The 15,938-nt window shown below is 36.8% G+C and overlaps 1 protein-coding gene and 1 long non-coding RNA gene across 5 annotated transcripts in view; one reads left to right on the top strand and one right to left on the bottom strand.

Moving 5' to 3' along the window:
- HDAC2-AS2 (HDAC2 and HS3ST5 antisense RNA 2) overlaps window positions 1–578 on the bottom strand; it is a 371,029-nt gene extending 370,451 nt beyond the window's left edge. Inside the window, exon 1 of the long non-coding RNA NR_125845.1 lies at window positions 1–578. This is a non-coding gene — a long non-coding RNA (HDAC2 and HS3ST5 antisense RNA 2).
- HDAC2 (histone deacetylase 2) overlaps window positions 1–15,938 on the top strand; it is a 38,121-nt gene that overhangs the window by 870 nt on the left and 21,313 nt on the right. For 2 of the 4 annotated variants that reach the window (NR_073443.2, NM_001527.4), the window contains exons 2-5: window positions 10,261–10,373; window positions 11,513–11,630; window positions 13,586–13,660; window positions 14,128–14,266. Coding sequence is in view for 2 of the 4 variants with exons in the window: in NM_001527.4 (NP_001518.3) it covers window positions 10,261–10,373; window positions 11,513–11,630; window positions 13,586–13,660; window positions 14,128–14,266 (445 nt within the window). In the remaining 2 variants the exon portion in view is untranslated. Of the gene's footprint in view, window positions 1–1,619; window positions 1,646–7,884; window positions 7,913–10,260; window positions 10,374–11,512; window positions 11,631–13,585; window positions 13,661–14,127; window positions 14,267–15,938 lie in introns of those variants that run through there. The other 2 variants (NR_033441.2, XM_047418692.1) reach the window with 2 other exon arrangements.

Raw genomic sequence — 15,938 nt, 5'->3', positions numbered from 1 at the left:
CCTTTCCCCGGACCCCTCCTCCCGGTGGGCGCTGGAGAGTAGTTACTGAGGGTGGGGGCTCAGGTCGCGTGTGGCTTTATCACACCCATGTTTTGCGTGGGCTCCAACCCTCTCCTTTGTTCGCTGGGTTCTTTGAGCGCGTCTTTCTCAGGATTCAAATGGAAGGGCTTCACTTCCTCAATAATAGTTCGGGTTTTCCAGTTTCAGGCAGAAAGACTTCGTAGGAAATAAGAGGTGGTAGGGAGATGTGGAACTGCTACTGCTTGTGTTGTAGATCAGACTCCATGGGTCCTGGCTTGCCTCAGAGAGGTGGTTACCACCCACTTCTTTGTTGCTCTTTGTTCGATCAGGAAATAGACCCTGCTTTGGGGATTTAGAGAGCATTGGTATCTTGCAAAGGCTGTTCCTAGGTGGTGGGGAATCCTGGTATGGGAAAACTTTGAGAAGTGGGAGAAGTGCAGAAGTACTAAATATTCTAATGAGGTAAATTTGAGGTCACCGTGTAGTGAATTATAAAAGTCAGATAATTTAATTATCTTAAGCATTCTATAATTTGGAGTATGAGCAGTAACATTAAATCTTCGAATCCTGTTTCCTGTGTTTTCTTGCTCAATGGAGTAGTAACCTGTTATACAGATTTCACAAAGGCTTGGTAAATAGTTTATAGTAGGTTACTCTTGAGAGAAGGGATTCCAAAATTTAACAGAGAATCTATCCTAGGCTCCTTCTCCTGAAAGTCCTGTCTGATTTGTAGGAAGCAATACAAATTTTGGAAGCTGTTTCCTACATGTGGTGTATTGTAAATCACAAAATTTTAGAGAAGTAAGACCCCAGAGCACCAGCTCAGAATAAATCTACTTTAACTTGTAAATGACCGTACTGTCTCTTTTTAGTTAAAAAGGATTAATCTTTTAATGACTGATACATATAAAATAACCACCTGTGTCATTTGGGGAAAATCTGAAATCTTACAGAACAAATCTAAATTGATCTGCGATAGCTAGGACAGAATAATAACAGCCCTACTTTTAAAAATGATTTTTCAGAGGACTAGATATGCATTATATAAGTTGATTTGAAATTATGCCATCGTGGAGGGGTGGAGATGGAAATACATTTTAATTTCAACATGATTTACATTGCATATTTTGGGTTATTCTTGCCCTGCATTCCCTGATCAAATTGGAAAGGAAGTAACCCTGCGTATAAGTTAATTTGTAAAATTACATTGTTTCTAAAGTTTAGAGATTTATCCTTGTCAGGGCTTGGAGTAAAGAGGAAAATTTTGGTTAGGGAAAGTGGTACTGAGGTCCTTCTCGAAGCTGTCAGTTGGTGTTGGTAGTGATGGGCTCTGAGGAAGTAAGCTGCTTGTAATTTGTTGTCACCACAATGGAACCCTAGAACCAGGAGGGTACACTTGAGTAGCAGTTTCTGAACAGCGCTCTTGTCCTGGGCCCATTTATGATAACCTTCGTTGTGGGAATGGGAGCAGGCACGGGTACCCGGGAAAGGATGCAAGCTTGATAAGTAGGGTGGAAATATTTGTCTTGTGATTGTGACTTAATATGATACTTTATTGTAGCCCATTCACCTGCTTACGTGATGGCCAGCAACAAGTGAATAGCTGATAGTTTGGAAATCTCTGGTGGGTTATTTTGTCTTTTGTCTGTGACTCGTTTGTTAAAGTGGAGTTCCTAGTTGCTTATGTTTCACATACTCTTTTAATTTTTGTGGGAGGGAATTAAAATATTTTGCAGAGATTATTAATGTTTATATTATGCTAATTATTAATATGTGATAGTGTGCTGACCTCATCCAAAAACTTATATTTTTATTACCAGAGAACATTGTTTTGTCAGCTTACAAAAGTAGCAATACTAATTCTTTTTTTATTGTGAGAAGAGAATGCAAGGAAAGGAGCTTCTGTATCAAAGAATCGTGACTTTAAGGTATATAACATGGATTGGATTGGGAATGGGTTATATCTGTAGTAATAGGGTCTGAATTATCTGCTAGCCTAGGTTAGATGGTTTTAACTTCTTGGTAAAGGAAGTAGAAGGAAGAAAGTGAGTGAAAAAGAAAAGGACGGAAGTAGCAAATTCTATAACCATAGGAATCCTACCTTTAGGCTTCCTGGGGCTGTTAGGCACACGGAGCCTCTTGGCCACACAGAATGTCTGCCACTGAGGCTGTTTGCATCTTAATGAAAGAACTTTTAAATATATACATATTGTTCTCTGCACGTTATGTAATCTTCAGGTAACCCTTTAGGTCACTGAAACGTTGGTCCCAAGGGAACCTTCAGACATTGATGGATTAGGTATCCTTAAACCTTTGAAGAAAAGTAAGAGAAGTTATTACTTCTCTGACTGTAGCTATTGATCCATGCCTCCAAATTCCCAAAAACATACTTCTGAATCATGTTCCTTCTTTATACACTAGAAGATCATCAAGAATCTGTAAAATGATACAGCTAATTAGATAGTCACTAAGATCCCTTCTGGGCCTTAAAACGATGTGATTTTTCTCTACTTAAATATAATTAGCAGCTAAGCTGTGTTAGGCTCTAGTTATACCACTCACATTTTTAATACTGTATCTAGACATGTTTATGCTTTGTTTTGAATTAATCTTGAGGCCAAACATATTTAGTGCTTGTTTTTATGGTGTATACAGTATAATAGGGTTTATATACCTAATTTATGTAACTATACACAAATTTCTCTGTGCTCTATTTTTTCCTCCTCTGAGAGGGATGCATAATCAGTTTTGGAGACAAGTGGTCCAGAAAAAAACACTCAAAGACTGTATACAGATAAAACTATATAAATACAAAAGTTATCAAGATTAGGCCAGGTGTGGTGGCTCATGCCTATAATCTCAGCACTTTGGGAGACTGAGGCAGGCAAATCACCTGAGGTCGGGAGTTTGAGAAGAGCCTGGCCAACATGGCGAAACCCCGTCTCTACTAAAAATACAAAAATTAGCCAGGCGTGGTGGCAGGCACCAGTAGTCCCAGTTACTCGGGAGGCTGAGGCAGGAGAATGGCTTGAACCCAGGAGGTGCAGGTTGCAGTGAGCCAAGATAGTGCCATGGGCAACAAGAGCGAAACTCCGTCTCAAAAAAAAAAGTTACCAAGATGATACCTCCCAACGTACTCCTTCTTCAGCAAATTATAGAAATTCTACTTGGCAGCCAACGATTGTCAGATTTTCTTAGACTTGTATTTATGAGTAGTACCAAAGTCTTTTGCTGAATAACCTTTAATACAACTACATGGGTTCTTAGCTGTGGTATAAATCTTTATTATCCGTGAAATAGGTAATAATTTCTTTGGAGGCAAATAAGTGCTAAATTAATTATAGCAGCAGTTCATAAATACCAGTAATACTAATTGCACAATAAAACATGACTAAATAAGACTGAAATTTTCCTATACTTCTCTTTCCCCAGAAATCTTTTGCCTCTCTTTTCTTTCAAATTTTACCTCATCAGAGATGCTTTCTCCTATTACCTAAGTCCCTGTTATTGCCTTATTTTTCTTCCTTTTGGTTGTACCATATAACTTTTGTCTCTCTCCTCACTATAACATAAGCTTCATTAGGACAGTCTGTCTGTTTTGCTTGTGTTTGTATCTTCGCCAACTACATTTAAAAACGTAGCTTTTTTTTTTAATTAGTGATGAATAAATTATTAATTCCTTATACTTTTTTTTTTTTTTTGAGATGGAATTTTGCTCTTATTGCCCAGGCTGGAGTGCAGTGGCGTGATCCCAGCTCACTGCAACCTCCACTACCCTCCCGGGTTCAAGTGATTCTCTTGCCTCAGCCTCCCAAGTAGTTGAGATTACAGGCACGTGCCACCACCCCTGGCTAATTTTTGTATTTTTTAGTAGAGATGGGGGTTTTACCATGTTGGCCAGGCTGGTCTCGAACTCCTGACCTGGGGTGATCCACCCACCTCAGCCTCCCTAAGTGCTGGGATTACAGGCGTGAGCCACTGTGCCTGGCCAATTCCTTATTCTTATAGATAGAACGCTTTCATATAACGTTCCCTCTAATTCTTGAAACTACTCTGAACTACATTTAGGTAGGATGGGTGGCATTTTGGCATTTTTGGTATTGTTTAGATGAAAACAGATTCACATTTGTTTGGTGCAGTCTACCACTTTTCCTTTTCCACACTGACTGTAGTTTTAATGTTCAAGGAGAGTTCAACATCCGGAATCTTTATTTTTCTTTTTTCCTTTTCAAAGTGTTTCCTCTGCTACCAAACAAACAAAACTCCTTAACAAAAACTTTAAATGCTTCTGTTGACAAGTCCTTAAAGGAAAACACTTGGGATTGGAGAAGGCATCTCTTAGGGAATGTTAATAAATTCAAACTTGGAAGAATTCAAATCAAGTCTAAGGATTTTTTTGTACTGGTTATTAAGCCTTATTCCTCTGTATTTCAGTAGCAGTCTGCTTATTGTTACTTGTTCATTAAGCCAGCTTTGGGTTCAGACATATCAAATAGGCTTAAAGTTCCTACTGTGTGCCAAATAGACAAAAGATTGCTCAAGTCCTAAGAAGGAAATAAAAGACTGCAGGTATAAAGTAAGAGAGGGGGCCGGGTGCAGTGGCTCACGCCTATAATCCCAGCACTTTGGGAAGCCGAGGCGGGCAGATCACAAGGTCAGGAGTTTGAGACCAGCCTGGCCAACATGGCGAAACCCTCTCTCTACTAAAAATACAAAAAAAAGTTAGCTGGGCATGGTGACGGGTGCCTGTAATCCCAGCTACTTGGGAGGCTGAGGCAGGAGAATCGCTTGAACCCGGGAGGCAGAGAGGTTGCAGTGAGCCGAGATCATGCCATTGCACTCCAGCCTGGGTGGGTGGCAAGAGCAAGACTCTGTCTCAAAAAAAAAAACAAAAAAAGTAAAAGAGAGGGGACCTTTGATAGTGTAATCAGAAAAGGGAAGACCTGAAGGAAGAGAATGGGCCAGCCTTAAAAAGAGTTTACTACATAAGATATTACAAATAGCAAAGCCAGATAGTTATTAATAGAACTTGGTGCACTTAATGGGAAGGAAGACAAGGAAAATGTGGAGTCCCATGTTAGGCAGTAAAAAGTGGGACTGCACAAAACTGTGTAGTAAGAAATTTGACTTTACCCAGAGGTGGAAAGCCATTGAAAGTTTCTCAAATAGAATGCATTCTCTCAAAATAATTGGTAAGGAGTTGTGGAATATAGGCTGGAAGCAAGAATTGAACACATATTGGTCCATATAAAATGTAATGGTTGCATTTTAGATAGAAATAGACATATTTAAGAGAGATTTGGGCCTCAAACCAATAGAACTTTTTGATGGATTAGAAATGGAGTTGGAGCTGAGGAATGGTGTTAGAGAATGAAGGATGACTCCTAAGTTTCTGGATTGAGCAGTTAGGTGGTATGTGGTACTACTCACTAAGATTGGGAATACAAATAAAGAGCTCTGTTTTGAACATCTTATATTTGAGATCCTTATTGAATTCAAGTGAAAAGACTGAGAAGAGAGTTAACCTCTGTGAGTTTATAATCCAGAGAGGAGAGTCTAGACATAGAAATTTGGGATTTCTCAGCTTATATCAGGTGAAGTATTGAGACTGAAAAAGATACAGCATAGACAGACGACTGGTCCCAGGACTTAACTCCCGAGAGAAGAGAATTTAGGGCAGAACTATTGTTCACTGATGAACCCAAACCCTTAGAACAGTACCTGCTTGGCACATGGTAGGCTCTTGATTTATTAAATGAATGGCTGAACTGAAAACCCTTGATGTTTAAAGGTTGGTGGAGGAGTGGCCTTGGGGTACAAGTAAAATCCCAAGAAAATGGTATTATGGAAGCCAAGGCTCCGAATGTCTCAAGGAGGAATAACCTCCTTGAAATATGTATTAAAGATGTGTTAATATGTATAAAAAATGGATAGTGGGCTAAGTAGTCTGGAAGATGAAAATAATAAACTTTTTTCTTTTCTCTTGTTTTTTTTTTCCTGAGTCTCTTTTTGCAGTCAACTTATCTTTGTGGCTAAAGGTACATTTCACAGTTCTGAAATCCAAAATGACCTGAAAATTGAAAAAAATTTTGGTAACTCATTTGGAATCAAAATCTTAACCTGAATCAATGTGAGGCTATTTATGATCTTTATTCCTCTGTGAATACCGTGAATATTCACACTTTTTTGCTGTAGAAATATTAATGTTTGATTATATCATGCCACCCAAACTCTAGGCTATTACATAATATATGGCAGGTGTACCATATTATCTCTACAAAATCTGAAAAAGTGTAAAATTTGAAACATATCTAATTTGAAGGAATATGGATAAGAGATTGTGGACCTTAGTAGACACTTCCATTCTGTTAGTTTCTTGAAGAGTGAGCAATTTGTAAAATTTTGCAGATAAATAATTCTTTACAGTAATTTCTTTGCATTGACAATTAAAGTTTGTTGTGTTCAAGGAACCACCTTGAGCTGATTTTTCTGAATGTTTATTTCATTGGTAAAGTATTTTTATGTACAGGTTGAATATCCTTTATCTGAATTCTTGGGACCAGAAGTATTTCAGATTTGGGGAGGTTTTGCAATATTTGTAATTATTTACCAGTTAGCATCCCTAATTCGAAAATCAAAAATTTGACATGCTCCAGTTAGCATTTCCTTGACTATTAAGTTGGTGCTCAAAACAGTTCAGATTTTGGAACATTTTGGATATCAAATTTTTGGATTAGGGATAATCTGTATTTTGATGCAAATCAGTAACATTTAAAATGCCCAAATTATTAATACATTACTGACCATTTAAATGATGAATAAAAATTGTAGGGTCTTAAAACTTCTTAGCCTTTTTATACTTTATGAAAAAGTGGGCTGGGCACAGTGGCTCACATCTGTAATCCCAGCACTTTGGGAGGCTGAGGCGGGCAGATCATCTGAGGTCAGGAGTTTGAGACAAGCCTGGCAAATATGGAGATACCCCGTCACTACTAAAAATACAAAAATTAGCCGGGTATGGTGGTGGGCGCTTGTAATCCCAGCTACTTGGGAGGCTGAGGCAGGAGAATTGCTTGAACCCCAGAGGTGGAGGTTGCAGTGAGCCAAGATCACATCACCGCACTCCAGCCTGGGTGACAAGAGCGAAACTCCATCTCAAAAAGAAAACAAAGTGGATGCCTACAAAGTAGCCATCTAGAGAATTGTGAGATACAGAATTAGTGGGAAAAAGTTGGAGATGGTTATTTTATAACGCCTTTATATTTTAGAAGAATTCTTTTTTTTTTTTTTTTTTGATACAGAGTCTCGCTCTGTCACCCAGGCTGGAGTGCAGTGGCACGATCTCGGCTCACTGCAACCTCCGCCTCCTGGGTTCAAGTGATTCTCCTGCCTCAGCCTCCTGAGCAGCTGGGACTACAGGCGCATGCCACCACACCTGGCTTTTTTTTTTGTATTTTTAGTAGAGACGGGGTTTCACAATGTTTGTCAGGAAGGTCTCGATCTCTTGACTTCGTGATCTGCCCGCCTCGGCCTCCCGAAGTACTGGGATTACGGGTGTGAGCCTCCACGCCCAGCTAGAAGAATTCTTGGTAAACCAAAAAATTATCTGTAGCTTGGCTGCCCTGTATACATGTATCATTTAGGTTCTTTGTGTATTCTTTGTGGGACTGGGGTCCCTAAATTTCAACAGAGAAACTTGTTGAAAGCTATGCGTATTCGTATACGATTTGAGGACCCTATTAGTAAAAAGTAAATTACTCTGATATATTAGGTACAGTTTCTTGTGTTCATTTTCTTTAAATTAACCAAGACCCTAAGCCTTTATTTAAAATATTTATATTTCATATTATGTCTTTTTTTCAGCCTTCACCCTGCCATTTCTAGTGAATCTGTAAGTGTCCTTGACATTCCCTGTTGTTATTACTTAAGAACATTAGCTGTGAGCTGCCCTGCCAGAGTTTGAATCTAGCTCCTCCACTTGCTGGCTATGTGACTTAGGCAATAATACCTGACTTGTCTGTTTCTCATCCTTCTTTACTATTATACAATAGGAATAATGTAATAATACCCACATCATAAGGTTATTGACAAGATTAAAAGATATGTGAAGTACTTAATAGTGCCTTCTAGTAAGCACTCAACAAGTGTTAATTACTGCTTTTTTTTTTTTTCAAACACACTTGCTCAGAAATTGCTACTGTAGTCTCCAATTATTGGGGCCTGGGGCTTTTCACTGGATTTTCAGTGTGCATCAAATAACTAGAGTATTTGATGTTATGATGTGGTAGATGTTAGAGACATTTCATTTGGGTAATTGTTACACAGAGGCAGATAGATGGAAGTTATTGTTTAGTTTGTGTCTTTTCTGTTTTAGGTGATATTGGAAATTATTATGGGCAGGGTCATCCCACGAAACCTCATAGAATCTGCATTTCTAGTGAAGACTAGACTTTCATTATTTTTACTTTAATGATTTCTTTAGTAGTGATAACTAAGAAATGCCTTCCCTTGTATTAATTTAATTACATGATGCTTTGTAATAACACTAGTGGGTTTTCCATATCTAAGAAATGATGAGACCAGGCTGCTTTCAAGGAACTATATATCCCTTGTATTGTCACCATGTAAGGTAGAGCTTTATGGTAGATTCTTTCTTAATAGGTAGTTTATTTTCTGCAATCATAGCCTCTTAATTATAATTGCAGAGGAATGTTGCAAAGGGCCATGGCCCTGCTTTGCTAAACTCTATATTGTTTCTTAGCCTTGTTGGCACCTGCATTAAAAAGGTGGCTTTCCCTTTAAAAGACTTTGTATATGAATTGTTTTCAGAAGAGAGCTGTGCTGAAAATGAAGTTAACTAAAATTAGAGGTGTGATACCAACAAAATCAAGTATTTATGTTATTAGAAGCATGGATTTTGTAAAAGCTGATTGTTTATCCCGTACTGTTATCAAATATGTAGGAGAGAGGACAAAAAAGTTTTTGGGGTTGTTTCCATTAAACAAACAAAAGGTGTATTTAGGGAGGACTTTGAAAGATTTAGTGGATAAATTGCATTTTTTATTCTAGCTTTTATTGTAATATATAAACCCGTGTTGAAATGATAGACTTCAAACCATTAAAATAGCTTGACTGTCCTGACCCTGTGGGGAATTAGTTCCAAGACTTCCACAGATAGCAAAATTCATGGGTGTTTAAGTTCCTTCAATAAACTGGTATAGTATTTGCATATAACCTATGTATATCTCCCCTTACACTTTAAGTCATCTCTAGATTACTCATAATACCTAATACAATGCAAATGCAGTGTAAATAGTTGTTACACTGTATGATTTAGGGGAAGATTACAAGGAAAAAAAGTCTCTACGTGTTTCCAGCAGACACCACCATCTATTTTTTAAAAATATTTTCAGTCTGCAGTTGATTGAATCCACAGATACAGAGGGTTGACTTTATATATTTGAGAGGCTTCTTGTTATTTACTATTATAGGAAACACTGGAGCTTTACCTAAAAGTATTAATTTTATTGAAATTTAGTTGATGAAAATCTGTGATTTTGTTATTTTCTCTTTTTTAAATCTTATGCATAAGTTTAAAGACATTGTGATATAAGATGCCGTTTAAAAAGACAGGCTAGGAATTACAACTTTTTAGTCATGAAGAATGAGACAGTATTTTTATTACCTTGAAAAATGTAATGCTGTGTCTTAGTGGAGCAAAACCTCATTTAGGACCTAAATTTCAGTTACCAAAACTTCCCTGATGGGCTTTAATATGGACACGGTATGTTTTAACATGCAAAACGCCAATTATGAGATTTCTGAAATGCCAGCAAATCATCCAAAAAGCAGTATTTGCTGAAAAAATTTTAAATCATACCAATAAAACTCAGAGAACTTAAAAGCATGTGAATTTGCCAGAGAATACAGAAAGCAGGCATCATTTCAAGGAACAGAAATTTTAAAAATTGGGGGTAGCTAAAAATCAGAAAAGCTTGCTTTCCTTAATCTACAAATAAATATAATGTGTAATAATGGAGTCTTCAGCTGGTAAAAGTGTGCGTAGCGTCTTAGTCATCTGATACAGTTTGAAAGTTGCAAAATAAATCTAAGTTGCTAAGGTTTTAAATAAATTTTGTTAAGTAGTAAATGCCTTCTAATGATAGACATACATAAATTCAAATAGTTCATGGAGGGTCTCTTGTCTGTATTGTTTAGTTTGTGTCTTTTCTATTTTAGGTGATATTGGAAATTATTATTATGGACAGGGTCATCCCATGAAGCCTCATAGAATCCGCATGACCCATAACTTGCTGTTAAATTATGGCTTATACAGAAAAATGGAAATATATGTGAGTATTCCTTTTAATACATATTCAGCACTGATCTTTTTTATTTTTTTTTAGCTACTGTGAAACTTTGTCTATTATTCCCCTTTTGAGGGCATTTAGCAGATGAAAAGATCTGGAAGAAAACAAACTTCTTTTTTCGTTTATTCTTAGGAGATGAATAAGAATGAGAGCTATACCCTCTTTTTCCTTTTCCTTTAACCATTTAAAAAAGTTCCCCCTACCCTAGGCTTTCATGGTTCTGGAGAACAACTCAGTATAGCAACAACTCAGTGTAGCATATTAAGTATTTTTTTTTTTTTTTTTTTTTTTACAATAATTGTTAATCTGCCTGTGCTGCTGAAAAGAGTTGACCTGGGACTGTTACAAAATAATAACACATAAAATTAATCCCACAAATATTTGCAGGGCATATAATACATATGGAATACTGTGTTAGTGTGGCCAAGCATAGTACAGATAACACAAGTGCAACAGCTGCCTTAATGTTTTTGTAGATAAAGATGAGGGTATGTATAAACAAATACAGACACGACAATTAGCTATTTGGGGAGAAAAGAAATATTTAAAACAATTAATGCTAGGCAATATATGTGAATATGTGAATTATTTTCAGTTACATGTAGACATTTAGAGAAGAGGGGAAGTTAGAATAAGACTCAGTCTGGAAGTCTTGTGGAAGAATTGTGTCATACGTGAAATTGAGCTCTTCGGAACAAGGAAGATTAGGATAGAAAAAAGGACGAGAGGTCGTGAACAAAGATTTAGAATTGAAAACTCTTGTAGTGAGTGATTTCATTGATGAAATCACTGGATGTTTTATCATGGAAAAGGAGAGAAAGTAGAGTTTATGAACATATGGATTTGACTTTTTACTCGAACTGTTTCCACTAAAATAAGGAGTGATTAAATCATAGTTGATATGCCTGTGTAATGCTTTTAAAGGAGTTTGAATTAGTTTTGAGATTGATTACTGTTTTCTAAAACACATATAAGTTTGGGTTAGTTTTGGAATTTATATATTTTGTTCTGGTAGACTTGGTTCTTTTGAGGGGACCGATAGGGGAATTTGTATATTTGTTTGATAATACTGATATAACCGGTTGTAATTCCACAGTTCTGACATTTATTTCTCTTCACAGAGGCCCCATAAAGCCACTGCCGAAGAAATGACAAAATATCACAGTGATGAGTATATCAAATTTCTACGGTCAATAAGACCAGATAACATGTCTGAGTATAGTAAGCAGATGCAGAGATGTACGTTTCTAAGTAAAAAGTAGTTTTGCTTTGATAAATGTAAATTAGTATTTTTAGGAGCTTAGAATGATCTAAATCTGAATATTTTTCCTGTTGGTCTAATATGTTACAGTTATTTACTGATTTGAAAAGTCATTTTAACACTACTAAAGCTACTTAAGAAAAAAGTAAACCTATCTGAAGCTTATTGGTTTGCAAAACTGCTGTTTGGGTATTCTTCTACTCCTAGTTTGCTCCCCTGATAACTTTGGGTTAATACATATTGGTAGGGAGACCTCACTCCCTTACTCCCTCGCTTCAAAAAAACAAAAACAAGATTACACTTTGATTAGCCTTAGCTTGGCATGTACATATCTCTTGTCTTGTCTTTGTGTACTTCAGTTAACCTGGACTATAATACACATCTCTTTTTCTTTGTTAAGATATTAGTGAAGCTTTTGATTCTACGTAATGTTCTCTTGTACAGGTTAAAAGTATTTTATTTTTAGAGATTAGTAACAAATTGGCTTGAAGGTAGAATGCAAAAGTCAACCTAAAATTATTGGAACAGTATCTTTTAAAGCTTGATACCAAAGTTCATTCTCATTAGTGTTTGTATTGACTGACTTCAGTGATGATTATACTAAATTAGTGTAGGTGCTAGACATCTCATATTTACAACCTCATACACATTTCTGCCATATCTTGTTTGATTTGTTATAATGCTACAATGTAACTAGAACATGTAGTATTTAATTTTTTTTTTTTCAATGAAGATTCCAACTTAGATGCAAAAGAGGCATGAGTAGCCCTTGGGCAAACAACATAACAGGATTGATTTAAAACCCACATAATAATGAGTTCTATTAAGCTTATGATCCTGGCCAGGTGTGGTGGCTCACGCCTGTAATCCCAGCACTTTGGGAGGCGGAGGTGAGTGGATTACCTGAGGTCAGGAGTTCGAAACCAGCCTGGCCAACATGGCAAAACCCTGTCTCTATTAAAAAAGTACAGAAAATTAGCTGGGTGTGGTGGTGCGCGCCTGTAATCCCACTACTCTGTAGGCTGAGACAGGAGAATTGCTTGCTTGAGCCCCAGAGGTGGAGGTTGCAGTGAGCCAAGCTCACGCCATTGCACTCCAGCCTGGGCGACAGAGTGAGACTCTGTCTCCAAAAAAAAAAAAAGATTATGATCTCTCTGTGCAGTAAGAAACTAAAATTCATTTCTTATAGTGCTTGTGACTTAAGGGTATACAAAGATATTAATATACAAAACAAGGACCCTTATTCTTGAAGAGGTTACAATTCAAGGGCATAGGGAAAGACTAAGAAAGGGTTACATACATCTGCCATATCCTTTCATTCTCTCAGTGCTAAGGAACTAAATGTGTGATCGTTTATCTGTAAATGTTTTCCTTGTTGTCTTTAGTATCCTATGTTTTGGCTCCCATGAACCTAGTTAATTCTTAGCAACTTTCAAGATCAAGATTAGCCATGGGAATAGGCAACCAGCTGTTACATCTTTTTGGTTTAGTAACTTACTGACATGCATTTCAAAGTTACAGATATTATAGGTATTTAAGGAGTTTCAAAGAAAGTAAATTATAAAGCAATTGAAGTTGCTTTTAGAATGTTAACTTATTGTAATATTAAGGGGAAAGGCCTAGAAAATTTAAGCCTGTGTTTTAATTAAATAAGAATTGTTGTACTTAGACAACTATTGAGTTCTTGTTAATAGACAGAAATATTCCACAGATAATCCTGATAAGATTTGATGATCTTTCACAGATAACACTTTAATTACCTTGGATAAAACAATAAATATATTTTAAAGTTGGAAACTTTATATTATACTGTGAAGTGTATGTTTGATGATTGCATCAAGCAAAAAAGTATTTGTGGGAAATAGTTTTTGTAAGAAAAGGCTTTCATTAATTTGCAGAATGTGTTGAAATTAATGAAATCCATCTTCCACAGTTAATGTTGGAGAAGATTGTCCAGTGTTTGATGGACTCTTTGAGTTTTGTCAGCTCTCAACTGGCGGTTCAGTTGGTAAGTGCTAATGCAATCAGATTTAAAAGTTGATCTGAACTTGGTGTGTTATCTTTCGGGTTATTTGTGTAAAACAGAAGTTTTAATGATTGTGAATTTTGATAACAAAAGGAAATCAGTATGTTTATAGTAAAGTACAATTTACTTTCAAACCTCTATGTTTTATGATTATGACTTAAACGCTTTTTAAACTTATTTTCACTTGGAGACTTCATTCATTCCCTTTGTCTTCTAGGTATCATTGTTACTACCACTTTCCACATAAACCATTATTTAATCTCAGGTTGCAGCTCTAGGAGAATATTTTTCTAAGGAGTAACTCCTATTTGTGTTATAGATGATTTCTGTTAACTTTCATGATTTTAAGCTCTTGCTTATGCATGGCATACACTTGTAGTGTTTTTGTCTCATTCTACTACTTTTTTATGATAAATGTTTAAAAGGTCTATCTTGTTTCTACTTCTTAGCTGGAGCTGTGAAGTTAAACCGACAACAGACTGATATGGCTGTTAATTGGGCTGGAGGATTACATCATGCTAAGAAATCAGAAGCATCAGGATTCTGTTACGTTAATGATATTGTGCTTGCCATCCTTGAATTACTAAAGTATGTTAATTTATATTGATACTCTTTTCAGTGATAAAGTGTTTTCATTAAAACACAATAAATAAAGTCTATGGCTTTAAAAAATATTAGGTAAACCATAGGTTGAAATAGTTAATGGTGAATTTTCTATGAATTCATTACAAAACAATGAAGAAATGCAGGAAATTTGCCCAATTCTTCAATTATTAAGACTTAGAAGTGTGGCCAGGCACTATGGCCCAGGCCTGTAATCCCTCCACTTTGGGAGGCTGAGGTGGGCGGATCTCTTGAGCCCAGGAGTTTGAGACCAGGCTAGGCAACATGGCAAAACCCCATCTCTACAGAAAAAAAATTAGCCAGATGTGGTGGCATGCATCTGTAGTCCCAACTACCCAGGAGGCTGAGGTGGGAGTACCTGAGCCCAGGAAGTTGAGTCTGCAGGAAGCCATGTTCCTGCCACTACACTCTAGCCTGGGCAACAGTGTGAGACCCTGCCTTAAAAAAAGAATTAGAAGTGTATAAAAGGCCAGTGCCGTGGCTCATGCCTGTAATCCCAGCACTTTGGGAGGACGAGGTGGGTGGATTATGAGGTCAGGGGTTTGAGACCAGCCTGACCAACATGGTGAAACCCCATCCTACTAAAAATAGAAAAATTAGCCGGGCGTGGTGGCGTGCGCCTGTAATCCCAGCTACTCAGGAGGCTGAGGTGGGAGAATTGCTTGAACCTGGGAGGTGGAGGTTGCAGTGAGCCGAGATGGCACCACTGCAGTCCAGCCTGGGCTACAGAGTGAGACTCCATCTCAAAAAAAAAAAAGAATTAGAAGTGTATATAAATGTCAAAACTCCCATTAAATACCCTTTTTTAAAAGTAGTTTGGCAATTTTCATTTTAGTTAGTTTCAACTAGTAAAAAATGACAATGACCTTGGAAGTTTATATTCTAGTATTTTGGATGTTTTAAACTGAAGACAAAAATTTGAAGCCAGTGTTAAAGGAAATTTTTTTACCTATTGAGTTAGTCTAACTGCCTAACTTCCATATCTGAATGAGGCTTTGTTCTCTACTGATGGATATAAAATTATCTCTGAGTTGTTGAAGGAGTTATTTTTCCTTATCTGTGGCTGCAGTTTGAGAGAGAGATCTATAGAGGTACTTAGGAATTTGGATGTTCGCAATGTTAGTTATTTTTTGCCATCAGTTATGACACATCTTAGCAGATTCTACTTTGTATTATACTGAGCTAGTGTTTTTTGCTTGTAGTTATTCCATGCATGCTATCCATAGAGGCTGACTTTTCAGTCAACTTAAAATTGATACTGACTCCTCAAATAAACAGTGATTGAGCAGTATCAGTGTAACATCTTGCCTGCTCATCAGGAGCAAAGGAAAATCATTTGCAATCATTTGCCTTGTTTTTTAATTGACTGTTGATGTTGGTTCCAGTGTCTTCAACTCTTTGAGCAAGTTCTTGCCCACTCAGCTAATAGTTTTAAACAACTTTAATTTGTCTGGACACATTTTTTTGGGTGGTGTAATCAAACATGATTTAATTAATTGACTTGGTGCACAGCTTTCCTTGCTTATCTAACACGTGAGCCGCTCAGAAACTTTATTTTGATCACAGCCTCATTTCTGTTTTTTTAATTTTGTGAAGAAATTTTGCTGTACTATGGTATGCTGTTTATAGTGTTATG

Source organism: Homo sapiens, chromosome 6 (genome assembly GCF_000001405.40).
Source record: "Homo sapiens chromosome 6, GRCh38.p14 Primary Assembly".
Lineage (NCBI taxonomy): Eukaryota > Metazoa > Chordata > Mammalia > Primates > Hominidae > Homo > Homo sapiens.
This window is presented reverse-complemented; position numbering and strand designations above follow the sequence as displayed.